The sequence below is a fragment of the Homo sapiens genome, chromosome 20 (assembly GCF_000001405.40).
Source record: "Homo sapiens chromosome 20, GRCh38.p14 Primary Assembly".
In the NCBI taxonomy this organism is placed as follows: domain Eukaryota; kingdom Metazoa; phylum Chordata; class Mammalia; order Primates; family Hominidae; genus Homo; species Homo sapiens.
Genome location: NC_000020.11, coordinates 9,091,609 through 9,115,355, shown reverse-complemented (window position 1 = coordinate 9,115,355; position 23,747 = coordinate 9,091,609). Strand labels below are relative to the sequence as shown.

At 37.5% G+C, this 23,747-nt stretch overlaps 1 protein-coding gene across 10 annotated transcripts in view; it reads right to left on the bottom strand.

Annotated features, from left to right (window-relative positions):
* Positions 1 to 23,747, bottom strand: part of PLCB4 (phospholipase C beta 4) — a 412,131-nt gene that overhangs the window by 365,453 nt on the left and 22,931 nt on the right. For 5 of the 10 annotated variants that reach the window (XM_024451898.2, NM_001377134.2, NM_001377142.1 and 2 more), the window contains exon 2: positions 19,014 to 19,069. The exons of the other annotated variants lie outside the window; for them this stretch is intronic. The gene's annotated coding sequence lies outside the window, so the exon portion shown is untranslated. The remainder of the gene's footprint in view (positions 1 to 19,013; positions 19,070 to 23,747) is intronic. 10 annotated transcript variants of the gene reach the window in all.

Below are 23,747 nucleotides of genomic sequence, written 5' to 3'. Positions count from 1 at the left end.
GGTTATATATGTGTTATACCTAGAAGCACCTCATTTAAATAAATTTTAAAATGTGTACACATTCCACCTCAGTTTCTATGAGGACCATCAGCACTGTTCTCGTTTCAATTTATTCAGGATTTACAAAATGAATAACGTAAGATTTATGGAAAATTTTAAGTAGTCTAGAGACCCACTGTTCTCAGCATAGAAACTAACCCTTAGAATAAGGTTTACTTATTAAAATAAGGAAGTAACTAGAGAAAAAGAATATAAAATAAAGTCCTTCACCTACTCAAACAAACACAAAGATCCACAAAGGATACTATTTGCAGAACTAACACCTCAGCAAGTATGACAGTAAGGGAAGGGATATCCTGGCCAATTACTCTGTGAAGTTCATAGTCATCAGGGTGGATTCATGGCCAAACACAGCAACCAAAGGCCGGTGTCACAGATCACCTACTCCAGGTAACAGAACTGTGCACAGGCCCTTAAACGTGAGGTCGGTCAAGGCCATCATCAGGAAGTGTGTTCTTTTACAGCAGTGTGCTTTGACAGGAAGAAATGTCGTTACTCAGGCATCTTAGGAAGCCATGTTAATCCTCCCCAGGTGCCATAATATGATTCCAGAAAGCTGCCTTTAATTTGGGGTTGGGGGAAGAGTGCTGACAACAACTGGCTACTGCTCTAAGCAGCTTCTCCCCTGGATGCACAAACAGAACAGAACTTGATAGTCTTCCTCCCCTGATTAATCCCACATTTGAGCCATCACTCATTACCTTGCTGAGTAGTAATTAGAAGGAAAAAGGGGAAAAGCTAGGGGTTTGGAATAAGCTTCAACATTATTAGTGTTTAACACTTCATCTTAATGCAGTGAGCTCAGACTATCATTACCCTCCCTGACACACTCAATATTCATACTCATCTCTAATCCTCTACCTAGGCTGTTTCTTTTTTTTTCTGACTTCTCCTCCAAATGATAAACAAATCAGGTCACTGCCCAGCTTAACTCAACATTGCCATCATCTTACTTTGTCTTCTCCGTTCCTAGCATCAGCACCACCCCTCTGAACACCTTATTAAGCACAGTCCTATGTCAATCCCAAATTATCTCGTTAGAAATGTGTGCCTCCAACAGGAGTAAGTCCCTCTAGGTTTTTAAGACAAAGTCTCTCTCTGTTCCCCAGGCTAGAATGCAATGGCATGATCTCAGCTCACTACAACCTCTGCCTCCCGGGTTCAAGCAATTCTCCTGCATCAGCCTCCCGAGTAGCTGGGATTACAGGCGTGCACCACCACACCCAGCTAATTTTTGTATTTTTAATAGAGACAGGGTTTCACCATGTTGGCCAGGTTGGTCTCAAACTTCTGATCTCAAGTGATCCGCCCCCCTCAGCCTCCCAAAGTGCTGGGATTACAGGCGTGAGCCACTGCGCCTGGCCAGACATCACAACTTGAGCAAAAATCACATTGTGAGCTTGATTAGGCACTCCCTTTCTACCCTGCTGCATGCAACACAACACTAGGTATATATGTCTGACTCAATTTGTTTGGCATTCTATTAATAGGGACGCCAAATGACTAGATTTCTACATTAATGCAATATTGATAATGACTTGGGGACACTGAAAATTGTTCAGAACCAAATGAAAGTTTAATTATGTTTGGCATTATTTTAGCAATTTAGTATATTAGATTATTTAGCAATTTAGCAATCTGGGTTATTAAAACACAAATAAAATTTAGCATTTTAACAAGTTTGGTTATTAGAAAAGTAATACTCCACAAAGGTAATTAAAGTGTGTCTCGTAATATGTGATCTTCCCCAGTACACCAATTCCCTGTATTTCCTGACCAAGATAAAAGCAGTTATTCGGATTTTCCCACCTATAACATATCTGAAAGATATAATAAAATAACACTTTCCATGGAAGACAACAAGCAACCTTAGAATGTAGACTACACATCCCGCGGGCACTTCTGCACAATCAGAATGTGAAGTTCCCTTTCCCAATCACAGTGAGGTTCTCAAAGAATGTTCTCTTGGAGAACTGCCAGTGTTTTGTGCTGCTATCTGAGGAAGCATTCTTGGAGGTGCCCATGAGCTAAAGCAGCAAAGGGCTCCGACTCTAAAACATTTCAAGCATTTTAATTTTTATTACAATTTAAACCATGTAAGCACAACCCTCAGAAAAAGAAAAACTCAATTAACAAGCTTTACTTTAAAGAGTCCATTTTTCTTCTAAGTATAAGCTGTGGGATGGCACCTTGCACACACACTCACATAAATTGATGTCAAGGCTCACAGGACCGCCATTCCTTCACCTCCTAGACTGCTGCATTTCAAAACTTATAATGTCTCCCTTTAGCTGCTTTAGGGACTTGGCATGAGATTTTTCAGCAGTCAGTTCCTTCAGCAAGGCCTGCTTTTGTGGAAAGGGTAAAATTTTATACGTACCAATTTGAGAAGCTGAATTTTTTTTTAAAAAGGGCAAGAGGAAATTGTTATAATTATAGAGACAGCTTTTGCATGCAAAATCAGTTTTCCTTGGGGAAATCTGCATACTCTCTATAAAGAATCCCCAGGCCAAAAGTACACATTATGCTTTTCAGCTCCAGTCTTTTTCAAAGCCATGCACTTGCCCAGGAATTGCATAAAGGGACAGTCTATGAATATGCTCCAGGCCTAGCCCAGATAAGCTGTTTATAAAACAAAAGACTTTACAAAGTTTTTTATAATATTTTAAAGACATATGGTATGCCTGAGGAACTGACCATTATCAATCAGTGTGAGACAATCAATAAAGAGTAGGGTATTTGGGCCAGGCACAGTGGCTCATACCTGTAATCCCAGCACTTTGGGAGGTCGAAGTGGGCAGATCACTTGAGGTCAGGAGTTTGAGACCTGCCTGGCCAACATGGTGAAACCCCATCTCTACAAAAATACAAAAATTAGCCAGGCATGGTGGCCCGTGCCTGTAATCCCAGCTACTTGGGAGGCTGAGGCAGGAGAACCACTTGAACCCAGGAGGCAGAGGTTGCAGTGAGCTGAGATCATCCACTGTACTGCGGCCTGGGCAACAGAGCAAGACTCTATCTCAAAAAAAAAAAAAAAAAGAGTAGGGTATTTGTTTCAACAGGTCTCCAAAACGTATCTAAACACTGTTCACAAAGATAATCACTGTAAAAGGCCTTCTCTTCAGATTCTTAACACTTCCAACTACATAATAAAAATTGGTCACAGTTGTTATGAAATGCTAAGAGTTAAGGATATTTTTGTGATAATGAAAGTAAAGCACAGGTAAAGGGACTATCCAAAATAAAGATCCATTTTTTTAATTTGGTCTAAATGTAAGGCATATTTGTCTTTGCTTTTAATTTTAGAAAAATTTTAGGTAATGAGCCTTGAAAAAAGGTGATAGTAATACTTCCACTAGTGGACTTTAAGACACATTAAATACATACTTCTATATACTTCATAGTGGAAAAAATACTTTGAGAAGGCAATATCCCATTTTAAATCAAAGTAATTATTTCTGTATGGAAGAAAATCCCTATGTTTTATGAGAGTTACTTGGAGCAGGCCATTCGTCTCAAAGAGGCTATTTTTATAATACAATAAATAAAATATTCTTAAATGAACTGCCCATCAATGGGAGAAAATTATCCATTTGTGTTAAAAGAAGTCTATTTTTGTCAGGTCTTTCCAAAGCAAACAAATTAGCAGTGGCTTTGGGAACTGTGAATCCACAGCCTCAACAGCAGTTGTCCAAAATTAAAGGTTTGTCAGAATGGGTGGGTGGAAGATGGAAACATTTCAAATGAGTATAAACATTTTATAACCCAGACAGAACCTTTCAAGAGTATCCCCACAGACTGAAATGATCTGTCACCTGGGCTAGGCCCCAGCTTCATAAATGGAACTTTCATAAATGGAATATTTTCAAAAATAACAATGAGAGAAAGCAACTCTTTGAAAAACAGATTTAAAGTAGAAAACATTCATAATATATTAAGTAGGAAAAGGAGGTTACAAAAGCATGAGATCTCAATTTCGTAAAACAAACAAAAACCAAATAAGATCCACACTGCCATCTGAAGAACACCACATTACAACATTAGTGGGTGCAGGGCCAAAGCCAGTTCTCTGTCCAATAACTTCCAGGCTTTGCCCAATGTACCTTCCCAAGTAGAGAAGAGTCATAGAGCCCTTTCAGGAAGCTCATCCCTGAGGGGGGTGTCTGTGACAAATCTAAGTCTAACATCGTTCAATCTGGCATTTTCCCAAACGTATATGACATGGAAAGTTTCCCAATGTCCCCAGTGACCCAGAACACCTATTAACATTCTTAGCAGCTCACCTTGGAAACAGTTTGAATAATAAATTGAATACCTGCTTAATGAATACAAGTAGTCAAAAAAATTGATGAAAGACCAAAAAGAACAACAGTACAATATCAAAAGTGGTGATTTGTGGGTTGTAGGATTTTGGATTATATTAATTTTCCAAATTTTCTATAACAAACATATTACCTTCATGATTATGAAAAAAAATACAGTATTTTACGATGCCTAAAGGGCTACACTGTTCATCTTCCTCTAAACTATTCATTGGTGAAGAGGACATTTGGTACTTCAAATGCCAACACACTAAGTTGGAGAAAAGGAGAAAGATCTGGCAATCTGTAGATTGCCACATGTAGACCATCTATAAAAGGCCAGCTATAAAAGAAACGTAGTCAGCTTAAATACTGTTCTCAGATTTCTGGTGTCCTATGAAAATAAATGAAGCAAGGAGTCCAGCCCTGGCAAAAGATGAAGGAGAACCTCAGCCTCACTAATTTCCTGTTTATTCTCTCAGATGCCAACCATTACACAGCAGCCTTTGGGAGAAATGTAAAATGTGTAGAGATAATCTAAACACTGTTTAGTCTTTTTATTTCCCCCACAAAAGACAGTGTAAATAGAGGAGAAATGATAGCTTACAAGACATTTTTATGAATCTGAGACAATAATGTATATGTCCATTGAAAGATGTTTAAATCCTATGTTTTAAAGATTCATATTTCATTGAAATAAATGCTAATCAGTGTAAGTTGTTATTTTCCATCAAAAATATATTTTTGGCATTTCTTCTTCAACTTTAATTTTTATTATATGTTTTAAAAAAAAAACAATTCCAGACAATATGGCTGAAAGGCTATGTTAGCCTTGACCTGTGCATTCATTTTCTATGCGGAGTTTCAAAACGTTCTACAAATTAACACTTTGCAAAAAATAGTTGAGTACTGTTTAGTAAAATACCCATTGCTTAATAATAATAATTTTAAAAAACTCTACTAACCTTCTCTGTGGGAACTTGTCCATAAACTTGAATAACAGATTCACAGAACATCAGGGCTAGAAGAAAGCTAAACTGGGCCTCCATACCCTTGACTCCCAATACTGAGGCCTGAATTGGTTAAGTGCCTCCCTCCAGGTCACACAGCTACTTAGGGACAACACAAAGCCAGATGACAATTTCCAGAAGACTGAGATTTTGAAGCTGTAACTGAAAACTCCCTGAGTTAATTAAGACAATGACTGCAGTTCAGTCCTGGCAAGAAAAAAAGGATAATATTTATGTGAGAACGAACTTAGTCCATCTGTGGCTGGCACACAAATCTTTCCCTTCACTATATTAGGCTTTCACTTTAACTTGTTCTGCCTGTCTTCCAAACAATTTTTGACTGATATCAGAAAACAAAAATCCTCCTGTTATTTCATGAGCCCAGCTTTTATAATTTGATAAGCACTAGAATATGTGTATTGTAGGTAAGTTGCAGAGGGGTGGTGGTAGGGAGTAGGGGAAAGGTTTATTAAATCAAGAAGCTATCATTTTAGGCCATTACGAAAAAAAAAAAAGCAATCATTTTATTTATTTCCCACACTCATGCATTACAATCCCACATGAATTGCCTACCAGTGAAAATTGTGAGATTCTCCTTCTCAAATAGGGAGACTGCTAAAATTCTATTTTAAAGTTTTATTGATATTTTTATTCATAATTTCCAGAGAAAGGACCAGAAGTGTGAGTTGGTTGTTTATTTTTGTTTTCTTTTGTTTTAATCAAATCAACTGCCTAAAGAAGAAACTGAAACTCCAGCACAATTCTGGTACTCTTATAGCCACACCATTTTATAAATGTTCAATACTTTAGACCCAGGGATACAAATTCACATCTCTGCTCTGAAGATCGTGCTATATTGTTTAAGTATCAGGGAAAGTATTCATCTATGAAAAATGTATACATTTTCAAGTCTATTCAGGCTAAAGTTAGTGTTAAGAGCAGCTAACACTTTTTTTTGGTGGGGGGCACCTTACATTTCTGGGACTCAATAAAGTTTACCAGGCACCTGGTTTTTCCTATGCAACCTACTTCAACTACCCCTTTCTCCTCTCTCTCTTTCTCTCTCTCTCTCTCTCTCTCTCTCTTGTTTTCTCTCTTCCTCTCTCTCTCATCACTCTGTATCTCTCTCCTGCAATTGGCTTTGCTTTCTCACTAGGCTTTTCCCCCATGTTATTCCAAGTTTGGGCAGCTGCACCTGGATCAACCAGCTTATATTTAAATTAAACTATCTGACAGGACATGTAAAATTGTCTTTCAGTAATTTTAATTCATTTTTCTTTCTTTTTTGGCTGCTATATCCAATTTTAATGGTAGGGAATATATTTGGCATTCTTGAAAAAAAAAAAGAAGATCTTGTTCCTTTTGAATTCTTAATAATAATTAGTATTATCATCATCATCATTTCCATGCTTCACAATTCATACCTCAGCAAGGAATTCAAGCTGACATGTTGTGCTGATCCAACTTTTGCACCAGCCTCCTGTTCAGTCAAATTTCAGTCCTCATCTTCTTTGACAGCCCCTCTGATTAATCCTCCCTCCTTGAAACACTCAGCAGGTGGATTCTAAGACGCCATATGCCCTTGGTTTTCCTCCTACTTCATTAGCTCACTTTATCCCTGATCTCTAACACTGATTCTTCCCTATCTCCCCACCCTCTAAGTGCCCTTAGACTCAGTCCTCTGAGTCTTGTCTTTGCTTCTTGTCCACATTCACTTTTCTAGTGACTTCATCCAGACTCACAACTCCCACATTTACACATCTTCAGCCTAGTCCCATCTGAATTCCAGACTCTTAATATCCAACTAACTCCTGGTTCTGTCTTCATTTTGGACACCTAATGGGAATCATGATTTTACATATCCAAAACCAACTCCTGATCTTCTCCATTCAAACCTCTCATAATGCAGTCTTCCCCATTCTAGCAAATAGCACTTCCATCTTTTCAATTGCCCAGGCACAAAACCTTGGAATCCCCTTCACCACCTCTTCCTTCCTCATACCTTACGTGGAATCCATGATCAAATCCTACTGACTCTATCTTCAAAAGAGATCGAGAATCTCACCTCTTCAAACCACCTCCATCCCTCCAAACCTCGTTAAAATCAATATCCCCCAATCTCCCTTGATTACACAGGAACATAACCTCCTGATTCTCCTTCTTCTGGACGTGCTCCCTCACAGTGTACTCTGAACTCAGCAGCCAACGTGAGTCTTCTCAAAAGTAACATCCCAGCACTCTTGGGTCCCAATTCTCCAAAGGCTCCCTATTCCATTTACAGCAGGAGTCGAAGTCCACACAGAAGACTATAAGACCCTCCTCCCTACGCCACCCTCCTGCCCAATCTCCCAGCACTCTCCTCATGTTCAATCCGGGGCTTCCTTGCTCTTCTTCAGAAACAGCAGGCTCACCTCTGCCTTATGGCATTGGCATTTGCTACCTCCCACCCCCAAAAGCCTGAGGAGGTCGCCCCCCACAGATGACATGTAATCCTTCCTTAGCAACTTAGGGCCTTGACTCAAAGACCACCATCTCAGGCCGGGGTGGGTAGGCTTCCCTGTTAATCTTTTCTAAAATGACAACACACCCTCTGCTCCCTATTCCCCCTTTTCTCTGTAATGATAATCAGTAACAATATGCTAAAATTTTGACTGTTGGTTGTTCCATCTTCCCCACTAGAATTTAAGCTGCAAGCTGAGATTTTTACTTCTTTAATGCACTTCTGAAGCCCCAGCTCCTAGAATAGTACCACAACAGACATAAGAGTATAATCCATAATTGTTGAACGAGTAAATAAATGCTCCACTATAACCTGGTTTTTCTTTACAAAAGGTCAAGATAATCTTCCCACACAAATAAACACACAACTAATCGAAGGGACAGGGACAAGATTGGCCATGACTGGGTAACAGTTGAAGCTGGGTGATGGTCATATGGAGATGGTTTAGGCATTCATTCTACTTTTGTGTATATTTGAAATTTTCTATAATGAAAAATGAATATACATTTGCTTAATTATTTAATGACCGCATAGTATTCCACAGTCTGACTACCATAACTATTTAACCAATAACCCTACTGGAGGATATTTAGGTTTCATCTTTTTCTCTATCACCAAAGATGTTAGGATAAATAATCTTACACAACTATCCAATTTGCCTTACAACAAATTCCTAGAAATAGAAGGGTTTGCACATTTAAAATCTTATACATACTGCCAATCTTCCCTTCACAAAGTCTGACCCAGTTTATGTTCCCATTGGCACATTAAAGGAGTGCTATTCTAAGAGTGGTCCATAGAATGGTGCTAGACTGCAAAATGTTCCTGACTGGTCCACTGAGATAGGTCCAGAAATTGAGAGTAAACATTTAGAAATATTTAACGCACTTTGAGAGAGTTAATTTTATGTCTGATGAACATTTTGTGTGTGTGTGTGTGTGTGTGCATGTGTGTCATATTTGATATTTTATTCCGAATATCTGTGATTTTTGATTTCTGGCTACTTATTTTTACTGTATGTTACAATCATATCTGTCAAAAACAGACTGGGAAAATATGGCCCTTCAGTGCAGTTTGAAAAAAAACTACACTGTTTGCCCACAGCATCATCAATTATGAACTTTTTGCTTGTTTTTATTTGTCATTTTAGTTACCGAGAAATATAGGTTGGTGCAAAAGTAATTGCGGTTTTTGCCATGACTTTTGATGCAAAAAACCACAATTACTTTTGTACCAACCTAATAATATACCACTGTTGGTTTAATTTGCACTTTTGATTGCTGACAGATTTGACCATCTTTTTATATGTTTGACGGCCCCATATTCATTATTTTAACTCCACAACTTTATTAAATGTTCATCTTGCTGATAAGGTTGTCAGAGTTTATTTTAAAAGCTCTTTATACTTTGGAAATATCAGCCTTTGTTGATCATATTGTTTGTAAATGTTTTCCCGGTATATGCTCTGTCCTTCAAACAAGTTGAGATGGTTGCTGACATTTTGAAAAATAAAGATGTAAAACATATGTATATGTAGTCACATTTTTAAATCCTTTCCTTCATGGTTTCTAGTTAGAGATGACTTCCCCACATACACATAAATTGTAAAAATATTTATCCATAGATTTTTATCATAAATTTACAGTTTATCTTGTTATATGTATAATTTTGATCCCTAGAATTATTTCTATATTAGCAGTGTGGTAGAGACCCTGCTTTATTTTTCCAGAAGACTTTGCAGGTGTCCCAATACCTTTTATTGAGTAATTAATCTTTTTCCTACCAATCTGAAACACCAATCTTATCATATACTAAATTACCATACATGTGTATGTAAAACAAGGTTCTTTAATATTTTACTCATTGATGTATCCCTGTATCAATACCATTGTTCAATCATCATTGACTTAAAATATTCTTTAATATCTAAGATGCCAAGTGCCCCTCATAAGTATTTCTTGTAATTCTGAGAGTATTAATAGGTTCATACTTCCAGATGCACTTTGGAATTATTTTGTCAAGTTCCCTAGTTTTGATAGAAATTGTACTGAGTGTACACTTCAAATGAACAAATCTGATATTTTTGTATTACTACACTGAATCTGGCTTTCCAAGAACAAAGAATCTCTCTCCACTAATATGAAACTCATTTTATGTCCTACAATTCAGTTTTGTAGCTTTCCTTACTTAGTTCCTACCATACATTTCTAGGAAAGTCATTCCAAACTTTTGTATGGTTGTACTGTTATTTTGGATGTGATCTCTTTTTAATAATATTGTCTAATATTTATGCTTGGTAATTAAATCATCAATTTTTACTTATTTAGTTTGCGGCTAACCAGCAATTTTAATCAACAATCATAGTACTTCTAATAGCTTTTTAGGTGAGTCTAAACATACTCTGTTAATTTCATTCATATCTTCATTCACTCATTTTTTTAAAAATCAAGCACTTGTTACATATATCTCAAGATATCAGAGCAACTAAAGATTAATATTATATTTAAAAATATGGATCTCCTCCAAGGAACATAAAATCTAGTAGAGCATATAAAATATACATATATTATTGTACAAGACAGAAATTGGGAGGTCTTTAAAATGGTACAGTTAAACTGTATGATGAGAGGTAACAGAAAGACATACTACAGAAGGATGGAGAGCTTAAGGAAGTCTTCATGTGAGTGGTAGCATTTATTATGAGGACAGAATGTTAGGATGTGAAGAGATTAAAGGGATAATATTCTGGGAAGAGAGAAAAAAAGTATAATCAAAGGCAAAAGAAGAAAAATCCAGATAAATTTGGGCTAAAACGCAGGGTATACTAAAGAAGGAATAGGGTAAACTAATAAATGGACTGTTCTGAATGCAAGACTAATTTTGTTCTTAGGTAGAAAATGGGGAGCTACAGGACAAACAGAGCTATGTTCTAGGAAATTGAATCTGAGGACAAGATGCAAATACTGGGCAATTTGCGGGTGAGAAGGACTGAGGCAGAGAGAGTATGGTAATTTTAAAACATGGTCCCCAAATTCTTTGACACTTCTCCAGTTGAGAGGTAGGAGTCTGTATTCCCACTCCTTGAACTTAGGCTTTGTGGCTGCTTGACTATAATCCAGCAGAAGTGACACTAGACCAGTTCCCATGTCCAGACCTTAAGAAAGTGACAACTTTTACTTCTATCTCTTGGAAAACTTACTCTTGTAACTCAGCCACCATGCTATGAGGAAGACCAAGCAGTCCATTGAGAGCCCACATGGTGATGACGGAAATCCCTAGTTCTTAGCTCCCAGCCAACTGCTGGCATCAACTTGCCAGGCATGTAGGTGAATCATCTCAAAAGTGGATCCTCTGGCATGCAGTCAAAATATCCCCAGCTGATGCCATAAGGGGCAGAGATGAGCTTTCTCTGCTAAACCCTGCCCTAACTGCAGATTTGTGGTTGTTACTGTTTCAAGCACTTAGTTTCACGGTGGTTTGTTGCACAGCAATAGCAACTGGAACAGAGACCAATTTAGAGGCTCTCATAATAGTGCTTATCAATGAGAAAAATGACTTAAAAGCAGCTGTGAGAATGGGGGAAATGGGTTAAGATGCCAGCATATTCTGAAGATGCAATTAATAAATGGGAAAATTGCAGCCTAAAATTAAACAATTATAATTTAGCCTCTTAGTTATTTCTCTGAATAAGAATTAACTAGATAGAAATAGTTATTTACTAATATTTTGGATGGGAAAGGGATTTTCTAGTACAAAGTAGTAAATGTGGCAAAACTGGAAATACTCTAAAGACAACCTTCGGGGATTTAACGTAGACCAATCACTCTCAAATTTTGTGCTCAAGACAAGTTCAGGGTTCTGAAAGGTCAAAATTATTTTCATAATGATACTAAGAAATTATTTTCCTTTTATTATTCTCACTCTCTGAAAGAGTTTTCCAGAGCCTTCATCATGTTCAATATCTCAATAAACTGCAGAAGCAAATAAGGGAATTCACGTATCTTTTATTAAGCAAGACTTTAAGAGATTTGCAAAAATATTAAATGGTGCCATTCTTCTCACCAAACATATATTGTTTGGAAAAATACAGTAATTCTTCATTTAAAAAATTCTTACTTACGTTAACATGTAATGGGTTTATCACTGTTATTTAAAATAAGTATTTGTAAATGTTCCCATTTTACTTTTTAATATAGCAAATAGTTATGATATAAGCTGCATGTTAAAAAGCTGTTTAGAACTCTGAACAATTCTTAAGAGTATAGAAGGGTCTTAGACCAAAAAGTTTGAGAAGCACTCCATACTGGAGTAGTCAGCACAGAGTATATGCCAATGTGTTAAAAAGTACAATGGAATGGCATGAACCCGGGAGGTGGAGCTTGCAGTGAGCCGAGATCCCGCCACTGCACTCCAGCCTGGGAGACAAAGCAAGACTCCGTCTCAAAAAAAAAAAAAAAAGTACAATGGCAGAGCAGACATGAAGAAGAACAAAGGCAGTAGGAGTGAGTATATGTGGTTCCTACAAGTCCTAGACTTAATTGTCATCATTGCCTTCATAGCTTATATGGAAGTGACAGCCAAGCAGCTATTTTATGCAGACTTTTTTTGGTGTTCATAATAATCTTGCTGAATAGCACCTTTAAACCCCAGAGAACATGGCAGGAGAGATTAAATCATCTGTCTCAGGTTACAAAGTGCTGATATTAATAATGTCTTATTTTTGTTCAAGCTATAGCCCCCCCCCAAATATGCTCTGGCATTATTAAGAGGAAAAAGTAGGTATATTAAGTCAACAGAAATAAACTGTTAACATAAGTAGTTATTTCTGTTTATTAAGCACTTTTCTCCTAAAGAACTAAAAACATTTCAAATATATCAGCATGCATAAAACCTCCATTAATAACCTTACAGGTATACAGTTGCTATTTCCATATTGTAGAAGAAGAAAATGTTATTAGTTAATACACAGTAAACTAAAAAGCAAAAACATTAAATCCCTAATTCTTCATCTCTGCCAAGCAATCATTTACATGTCATGCCAAAAGCAAAATGTATATCTCGAACCACCGCATTTGCTGCTTTTAAATGAGTATCAAATACTTTCTCCTTCTGTTGTAATCTAAGATGATTTTGTATAATTGTTTCCCTCTTTCCATCTTCATTGGCTACCTCTATCATCTATACAGAACTATTAAGCCTGGGAAATGTTTTCTAATAAGACCATCAACCATTTTCTATACATTTATGAAGCAAAATTAGTCACTGAACTTGCATTCTCAGTTACCGCAATCTTTGTAGTGATCCAAGAGGATTAAAAACTCACTCAGAACTCTGATTTACAGCCAGGTGCGGTGGCTCATGCCTGTAATCCTAGCAATTTGGGAGGCTGAGGCAGGCAGATGACCTGAGGTCAGGAGTTCGAGACCAGCCTGGCAAACATGGTGAAACCCTGTCTCTACTAAAAATACAAAAATTATCTGGGCATGGTGGCAGGCACCGATAATCCCAGCTACACAGGAGGCTGAGGCAAGAGAATCACTTGAACCTAGGGAGCAGAGGTTGCAGTGAGCCGAGATCATGCCACTTCACTCCAACCCGGGTGACAGAGCAAAACTCCATCTCAAAAAAAAAAAAAAAAGCTGATTTACAAAACTGGCAAATTGTTTTTACAATGAGGCACTAAGCTTTCCTCTAACTCTTAGACCTATCTGTAAGCAACACTAGGCAATATGTAGGGAAATGTATGTAGGCCATAATCATACTCTTGTATAAGCCATGCTACTACTCAGTGCAAGAAGATGATTCCACATAATGGGCAACTGAAAAATGAAAAAATGTCAGCTAATACCTGATAAAAAGAAATAATGAGATTTATGTGGCTGAATGAGGGTGTACAAGGGTAATGTCAGCCTCTGCAATGAATAAATCTGAAAATACATAAAGAGTTAACATAATAGAACCTCATTTCTCTTTCTTGCTCGCATAATTTATGCTCCATCTTTCATTGTATAGAGTTTGTTACTGGGAAAGACGGCAAATATGACTATTAAAGATTTTCTGTTCAGGAACATGTGGATTCCTGAATAGGAATAGTGAGGAGCCATCCATAACGCAATGATTTAGACTCAGGTTCACTTGATCCTGTCTCTCACCATCCCCTCAGGCCTCCCAGTCATCTGAATCTAACCACAGGAAAGAGGACGATAGAGCCTGGGGTTTCGACGCCTTGTCCCAGATTTGCCCTACAGGACTGTTCACATTGTGTTGGTGAGGACAAATCATGTAGCTCACCTACATACAAATGGAGGCTGTTCCACCAGTCTCTCTGGTTGGGCGGCTGCTTCACACCATACTTCTTTTCTATTGAGGGCTGAGCATAAGTGATGATGGACAGCAGGCAACCTCTGTCCCTGGGGTGATGGTTCCACTGCCAGGCAAGCCTCTGACCAATTATCATGAAATATGAAGAAATGGGCCACCAGAAACTTCACCTCACAGGCGGGCAGCCTACCCACATAAAAATCATGCTTGGGATGAGGAATCCCTCCACGGGCGACACACCGTAGCATTCTACGGAGGAAGCTGTGGCACTGTCGAGATGATGCAGATGGTCACACAGCTGCTGTGTGCACGAAAGTGGGAATCAGCGCACAGGAGGAAGAGACAATATGCTTAAGAACTCAAAACATAACGTGAAACAATATGTGAGTCTATCTGTTCTGGAAAAGCAATAAAACAGGCATACCAGCCTAGCCAAGTAGGAATCAGAAAAAGAGTGATTATTCACAGGCAACAGTTTTGATTACATGGTGCATGTAAGAAACAGAATTATAAACACAATTCTCTATCAAAAACAAAAAATGGAGTTGCTCCATTACTAAATCCATGGGGGATGTTTGAAATTCTGATATATGTATTCTTCCATTAAAGTATATTCCTTTCCATTAAACAAGTCAGCATATCTTCCTTGTGTTACAGCTAAGTGGTTTCTTTTGATTTTTCTTTAATTTTCCTGTTATGAAGTTTGAGGTTACAGTGAGCTGCAGTCATGCCACTGCACTCCAGCCTGGGCAACAGAGCAAGACCCTGTCTCTAAAAAAAATTAACAATAACAAATAAAATTAAATTGTCCTGTTATTATTCCACGTAAGGAGGATGTCCATTAGAACAAGGGAGACTAGTCCAGCTCCTTATACTCATGGGAAGGCTGTTTCCATTAGTATTGCTTTTGTTCCCAGTAACTAACTCTGTTTCACCTACTGCACTGTTGGTGCTGGTCACCACAGGTGGCTCTGGACCTGCCACCATGGTCCTCCTGCCCGCACCAGTGATGGGCAGAATTCCAAACCATTGCCTCTCTAAGTCATCTCGCCAGAGCCCCAGTCCCAGATGTGACAAACCTGAAGTCCCATGAGTGTGCCTACTTGCTGGCAGACATCAAGAAAAACACAAAAGTGGGCATTTCTGCTTGGGAAGTTAAAAGAAATGACACTTTTATCCACCCAGCTTCACACAATGACGAATGCCCCCAAATTCAGGAAAAGGATTCAGATACCAGGTAGCCCAAATGGGGATAAATGTCTACTGTACACACAATAAAATGTTAATTCAAACTGGCACATGGACCCCTGCCGCTTGTCAGGGGATATGGGCCATAATGAAAGGGAGGGGAGCTGGAAGATTATGGGGAAACAATTTTCTTTTCCACGCATTCACTAAGGACTCCTGTCCATAAAAATCTCCCACGATTTATAGGGTAAACCAGGCTTTGTCTTCTCCATTCCATGCCAGGACCCCAGGGGCAAAGCCCCTAGGAATAGCTTTGTGGTGTTGGTACTACTTGTGGCATGGAGCAGTCCTAGTGATGACAATTGTCCCCAGCACTGTAAAAAAAAAAAACTTTCTATGATGATGATAATGTTCTATGTGCTGCCCTCTAGCCACATGTAGCTAATGAGCATGTGAATTGTGACTGGTGTAAATGATGAACTCAATTTTTAATTTTCTTAATTAAAATAACTATATGTGGTTAAATTTAAATGACCACATGTGGCTGCTAGCTTTCGTACTGAAGAATACATCTAACCAAGCTACCATACAAGAAAATGGACTGTTTAAAAGTTTATAGAAGAAAGTTCCTCTATTGCCCCTAGTAACCTAATCTAATATCTAATAAAATAAACATCTGAGTATTTCTTTCTTCTGACTATTTAAAAACATTCTGGCCCTGTCTTGCTCGAATCATGGATCCAATCTTAACATGATTCAGATACCTTCCCCATGTTCTAGAGCAACAACTTTCAACTTCTTTGATTATGAGCTTCTTTGATTATGAGAACCATGTTTAATGTCAAAATGAATTGTTAGCCATTTATAATAGTAGTATAAATGGTAGTAGTATAAAGTAGATTTAATTTCTATTGATTAAGAAAATACATTATAATAAAAAAGCACCTCTTAATTCAGTAACACTTCATATTCATATATATTTCCTTATAGCAGGAATGATACAGAGTTTTAAAATAGTCATATATATATACGTATATATACATACATATATATATATACGTCGCCAGACAGTTAGGAGCACAGTCTTGAAAAGGCTCCTCAACTGCGTGGGTGACAGAGCCCAGGAGGCTGTGGAGTATTGTAAAAGACCTGGAGTATGTGGCAATTAATTCCAAGGATGTCTCATGTATTAAATAGTCTCATATATATATACACACACACACACACACACACATATATGTATATATATACACACACACGTATATATGTATATATGTACATATATACGTACATATGTATATATACATATATATGAGACTAACATATATACGTATATATATGTGTATATATATATGAGACTATTTAACACATGAGACATCCTTCGAATTAATTGCCACATACTCCAGGACTTTTACAATACTCCACAGCCTCCTGGGCTCTGTCACCCATGCAGCTGAGGAGCCTTTTCCAGAATGTGCTCCTAACTGTCTGGCGACCTTGCAGATATGTGAGTTTTTATTCCCAAGAGGGATTTTAGATTAATGTTGGATAAATGCGAAAAAGCAACTTTCCTAGTAGTTGAAAGTCGAATTTTTTCTATACATATCTGCTAGCAGATACGTGATGCAGATGATTTATGCTGCAGTTAAGTCCAATTATTATTCAAGATGATCAAGGTTTAATAATTTGGATTTCCTAAAAGTGTATTTTTATAACTCAGCATTTATATCACACTTAACAGCTCTTTTGCAGTCATCATTCTATCAAAGATTATCCTCACTCTCTGTCTTTGATTAACTCATGTTTCTCTATATCGTCTTTGAAGCCAACATTTAAATAAATAATCTGAGAAAAAAAAGAAAACATTTATTTAACTATTATGCAGTCAATTCACTGCAATAATTGCATACAGCAGGTTTTTGAACTCCAATTTTGAAGCAAATTCGCAACAATCTCTCTGGTCTCTGTAAGTTCACTCTGCTAGCATACTCTCATAGGGTTTATTTATGTCCAAATGCCAAATTTACACGGGTGGCTCTATTTATCTTAAATGGGCCGAACATTACAACTCAGCTTCAACTCCTCTATTTCCAATTTGGAAATCAATGTATGTTCGTTCTCCACACTAGATTTCCAATGATATAGTATGGACCATAGTCTTCACTTTTTGCTATCTAGAGGTGGGTGCTTTATAAGTAACATGTGAGCAACTGCTTGGTGAGCTCTGTCAGAGAGAACCAAGCCATTCCCAGGGCAGAGATGGCTGGGAGCTAGCTGGATGGGTAATTAAAAGCTGGAGGTGAATGGTCATTCTTGTGAGGTTGCAGAAGAATGAGGAAAGACGCCATCAGCATCACGAATTTGTTATTGTAATTAAATCAGGACAAATTGTTTCTATACCCTAACTTCTCAGCCCAGAAATGATCTAAAAGGTAAAATCTTACAGTCTGAGAGCCAACTAGAGGATAACATGAAAGGATAATGGCACAAGGTCAGATTTGACCACTGTGACCTTAAAACACCCCCCAAATCTCTGAGGCAGTCCTGTGGTTTGGGGTGACAGCCCCATGGGACCCACCATACCACTCATGCCTAGCGGTTTCCCAGTCTCCACAGGCACTCCCTGAACGCATGGCTCTAGTCAGAACCAAGTCCCCAACTACACCTTTCAGAACAGGAGAGCCAGTCCATATTTCAGAATAAAAAGTATGAGATAAAAACCAAAAAAAAAAAAAAAAAAAAAGGCCAGGCTGTGGCTCACACCCATAATCCCAGCACTTTCGGAGGCCGGGGTAGGCAGCTCACTTGAGATGAGGAGTTCGAGATCAGCCTGGCCAACATGGTGAAATCCCATCACTACTAGAGATACAAAAATTAGCTGGGTGTGGTGGCGGGCACCTATAGACCCACCTACTTCAGAGGCTAAGGCAAGAGAATCCCTTGAACACAGGAGACAGAGGTTGCAGTGAGCCAAGATCACGCCACTGCATTCCAGCCTGGGTGACAGAGCGAGACTCTGCCTCAGAAAAGAAAAAAAAAAGAAAGCCAAAGTGGCTCCTAAGCTAGTATGAGTTCACTCCATGAAATTTGGAAACCTCTTGCAGGCTCTGTATGGATTACAAAAAGATACCGTACACCCAAGAATGCCCCCAACCTTATTACAGCTGACAAAGTATGCAGCAAATCACAATCCACACACTGAAAAAGAAATCTCACACCACAAAATGAAAGATATCACATTTTTTACTGGCCACAGACCATTTTACATTTCCACACTGTCTTGGTTTCCTAGAAAGATGTCACCCACTGAAAAAGACAGGAACACATTTCATCAAGATGAGCTGAAATAAATGTATTGCAATAAAAAAATGGATCTGCTGAGAAGCATTCACTTATTATACATCACATACATTGACTGCTGTAGACATCAACTTTTGTCTCAAAATAGTCATTCTTTAAAAAGACTGGCAAAGTTAAATATTGAATTTAGAAAGATGAATCTGAGGTTTTAATTCAATTCACAATGGCACGTGTTAGTGGCATAAAAAATTGCTTCTCGATTAAATCATCTGGATTGTAATTTATTCAAGATAAAATTTTTTTAGTCACAAATTAAAAAGCACATACACCTACCTTTTTAAGGGAGATCACATTTTCAGGATTCTGAATCAGAGAGAAATTGTCTTTTCCTGTGAAGAAAAAATAGAAGAAAAACTACCTACTAGTAACAATAAATAGCAAATGTGAATTTTTAAGACCAGCCTATAATCTTACCATGTTGTGTTTCATTTATAATATTAAACAAATGGAAATCTTTAAATTAGACTTGAAATATTTCTTCATTTCTATCTACATAAAACATTTTACAGATTTTAATTCCAATGATTTGCTTTTTAAAGAACAAAATGGATAAAATCAAATGGAAAATGGATAAAAGTAAATGAAAATTGCTCAAAATTAGAATTAAAGTTTTTACATCACATCTATCCCAATGACATATTTTCAAACATTTTGCTTAATTCCATAAAGTAAATGTATAAACAAAGAAGGAAATATATAAAACTCCACTCTTGTTTCTGCTTTTCCAGTGGGAAAATGATGTGAAAAGGTTGTGATGGGCTGTGTAGGTAGCAGAAGGTAAGAGAACTATGAGCTGCTACCTCTTTCTATTGATTTTTTATTGTCCAAGCCAATAAACTATATTTATGGGCTCTATTTTTCTTAGCTAAGACTTTTAGATTACAAAAAAACTACATAAAAATTTAAATAAAAACAGGATACCTCTGATTTTATTTTACATGTATTACTTTCAATAAACAATTGACACAGAAACCTACTAGTCACTAACAAATACTAAATATGACTTTTCAAAATCACTTGTTAATATAAATTATTTTAACTTTACATATTCAAGCCAAAATAAGAAAGTAAATGGTTTAGTTTAATATAAGTTAATCATCCACTACTATAAACTGTTTCCGGTCAAATCTAATTAAAATGACCCATGGGATAATGTTCACAAGAATGTAATTCTGTCTCTGACCATGATATATGTTTGGTTCCGTCTGTAATTTAACTTCCAATGGGGATAATGATATATAGATTCAAAAACAATGACCAGGATTCTGACCCAAAAGAGCTCCAAAGATTTGAAATGACCGCCAATGCATAAATTCAAGGAGACCACAGTCCAGAGGAGTCCCTCTCCCCAAATGAGAAATCCTCCATTAGCTTGTGTTTGCTTCACTTCAGAATAAAAATCCTTTTTAAACTTTAAATAAGAAATTCTCACAACATCCTACTGAAAGGATCGTGAACCCTGCAACCATGTCCATGTCTGCAAATAGCCAAAATGAGTTCCACTCTTCTTGGCTAAGCTTAGATAGCTGCAGAACCTCTCTCCTTCAGAGCAACACCAATGCCCCATGTGGACTCCCCAGTGTAAGCCAGCATCTGGGGCCTTTCCTCTCTTGCTCTTCACCACTTCATATGTCAACCAGCAGTACTGTGGTCCCCTTCACTGCCAATATAGTATAGTGATGGTAAGAGCTGCCTGTTCTATTTTCTGAAACTACAGTTGCAGGTAAGCTCTGCTAACAAAAGAAAGCCAAGATAGCTAAGAAAGCCACGATGGATTGATGATCAATATGCACACATGGGTCACTGCACGTACACTAAGCCAAATCATAATCTATGACATAGTAACAACTGGGGTGGGGCCACTTATAGATCTTCAGTTCATAACTGACCAACCAGAAATAATATATCTATTTTTGCTTCAAATATGGATTTGTTTCAAAACAATCCAGTTGAGGTCACTGATGGGGAGGAGTAATGGATGAAACGAAACTGCCATGAGTTTGTTACAGTGTAATGATGGATATATGAAGGTTCACTGTGATATTCACTGTACTTTTATGTATATTCAAAATGTTCCATAATAAAAAGTTTTTTAAATGTTCATTTGATGGGAATTATTTGTGAAAATACAGAGAGAAATGCACAGATCATAACTATCACAACCTTTCTGTTTTTCAAATACTTTCTAACAAAAAAAAAGAAATACTTTAGGCAAAAATTTTAAAAATCAAATATCACACTAGGAAAAATGAAAAGCTTATAGGTATGGTTTAAAAAAATTATAAAAATGGCTTTGAATATTTATTTCAATATTCCAAAGCCAAATAACAAATATATATTTAGTTGCAATAAATCTTCTGTTTCTTTTTTGATTTTAGGTATCCTGCTTTCAATTAAGTAACATCAACATAGGAACACTGGTTATCTCATTCTTGTCAGAAATTGTAGGTAGTTAAATACACCTTTGATTCATGTAATTGGGGAAATGAATAACATATCATTAGTATCAATGTGATGTTTCATGAACAAATTCTTTCTAATGCCAACATCCAAGAGGAAACAACTTTTTTTAAAAATCCTTTATTCATGGCAAAGATTTGGGGCCACAGATATAAATTATCAGATCTGCTACCTGCTTATCCTAGCTCAGTGATCTGTCACTGTGAAACAGACAAAAGATGGGCACTTTATGGATTATACCACGCAATTTGACTAAAATTTGAAAGAGCCAAAAAGGGGCCATGTGACACTAAAGCTGAGCTCTCACAACAAGCAGGGAAAGTCACCCACAAGTAAAATCATCCTCACAGCCCAGGAATTTGATTTACTGACCCCGCCAGATGCCACTACTGGAAACCTGACCCTCGCCATAAAATAAAAAGCAGGATTTATGTCATGGTTTGGGGAAAGACCATGTGTAAAGCTGTGCCTACCCCACATCAAAGACAAACCAGGTGCCAGAAGAACCTCACATTCCCTCTGAACAGAAAACACACCGAGATCTAACACTAAATCCTAACGTGAGATGTGATGATTAAAAACAAGAAAATAAAAAACATAGTTCATGGTCTTCTATTTTCTTTTGCAAGCTTTCCTGGCCTAAAACAATCTGTTTCCTTTCCAATAAAGAAACAATGCCAAACTCTGAAAAGGAAATTTGTCTGACTTAATGGGTAAGCATATAAAAGCTGGAAAAGGGAGTATTATGGGAAAACCAGAGCAACTCAGCCTCAGGAGGCAGGCTTCCAAATTTATCAGTAAAAGGACTGAGGGTCAGAGGAGGGAGGGTAGGGTTAATAATTACGAACGAGTTACATGACGGAGGTCAGCTAAACAAAATTCAGTTGTTTTCAATTTGAAAATCACAGTTCTAGCCATTTACTACATGAGCTAAGAGAAACATCCATTAGCTCGCAACCATACTTAGATATTTTACATTCATGCAGCCATAATATGAGGACTAGTTTTATTAAATTTGCAATGGTATATCCTAAGGCCTTATGCATTTAATAAATATGTGTCAAATAAGTGAATGAATGAAGTAGCATCTAATACTTACCAAATCATGAAATCTAAAACTAAGCTAGTAGATGTGACAAAAACAAAATTCCCAGGTATGGTGGCTATAGCTATTTGTTTAGCCAACATTTATAGCGTTACGAGCCAATATACTAAGCTGAAACGATTTGCTTTCCCAGATACTATGGCAGCTAGGGATAGCCACATGACACAGTTTTGACCAATGAGATACAAGAGAGAGAGCTCTGAGAAAGTTCATTCTCATGATGTAAACAAGTCCCAATCCCTCATTTCCTGGAAATAGCTCCTGAGTGGTGCAGAGCCATCTCACACCTATGAAGACAAATAAATGCTAAATGATAAGGAGTGGTGAGAAAGACAGAAGGAACCTGGTTCCCTGATGGCACTGCTGAGATGCCACATCTGCCCAAAATGCTTAGATTCCCAAGCGTGCATTTCTCTTAAACTTCTGTTAGTTTAGGCTGCTGTTTTCTATCACTCACAGCCAAAAATATTCTAATATATACACCAGCAATAACTTATTTTCCCCCTTCTGTATCCTGAGAAGCTGCTCCTATTTTAACTAACTGCGATGCACCCTATAACTGCTCAGTAACAGATACATCACCATTGCAGTGGAAACCTCATCAACAATTCCCACTTGTCAACACTAAGGATGTCTCACCCAACAGGCTCACCAACAGGCTTCAGAGAGAATCAAAAAAGCATCAGAAACAACAAGGCACATCACTCTACCGAGCCACACTGTGCTTTCCTAAGGACCATTACATTCTGATATTAACAATGCAAAAGAGAATGATAACAATGCAAAACGGAATGATGACAAAAAAGACAGCAATGCTATTCCAGTGACCAAAGAAATGAAGAATCTTCTAAGTTAAGACAGTCTTAACCTGTCTCACAAAGAAAAGTAAATATTTAGTGGCATGCCTAGATTAAACACCAGAAATGGAACATCACTAAAAAACAGAAAACAAGAACATGAAAATACCTCTCGAGGGCTGAAGAGCTGACCTGATTCAAATGCTGCTTTATAGGGCCTCAGAAATGCACCTTCTGTGGAACTTAAAATTCTACAGTAACTTCTATTATCTGTAGATCTCTCTTGATACAACATAAACTCCTAGACCTCAGGAAGCAAGCCAGTAACAAGTATTGACAAATGCTGAATGAATGAAGAAGCAAAACTACATAGAGATTACTTTTCCAAGAGACTTTATGAAAAGCATGCAGTTCTCAAAAAGAAAAAAAAATCTGTAAGCATCACTTCTAGAAATATAATAATGGGTTGAAATAATTGTGTATTTAATGGTCAAATGTCTGTAGAAAGAAAAGAACAGAACTACAACTAACAGGTAGCTATTGTTGTATAAACCAGGTGAGGTGTTAGGCACTTTGCATCTAGTATTTCATGCAGTCTTCACCGCTCCCCAGTTAGGCACTAGTCTCTCCCCTTTCCCATGAGGA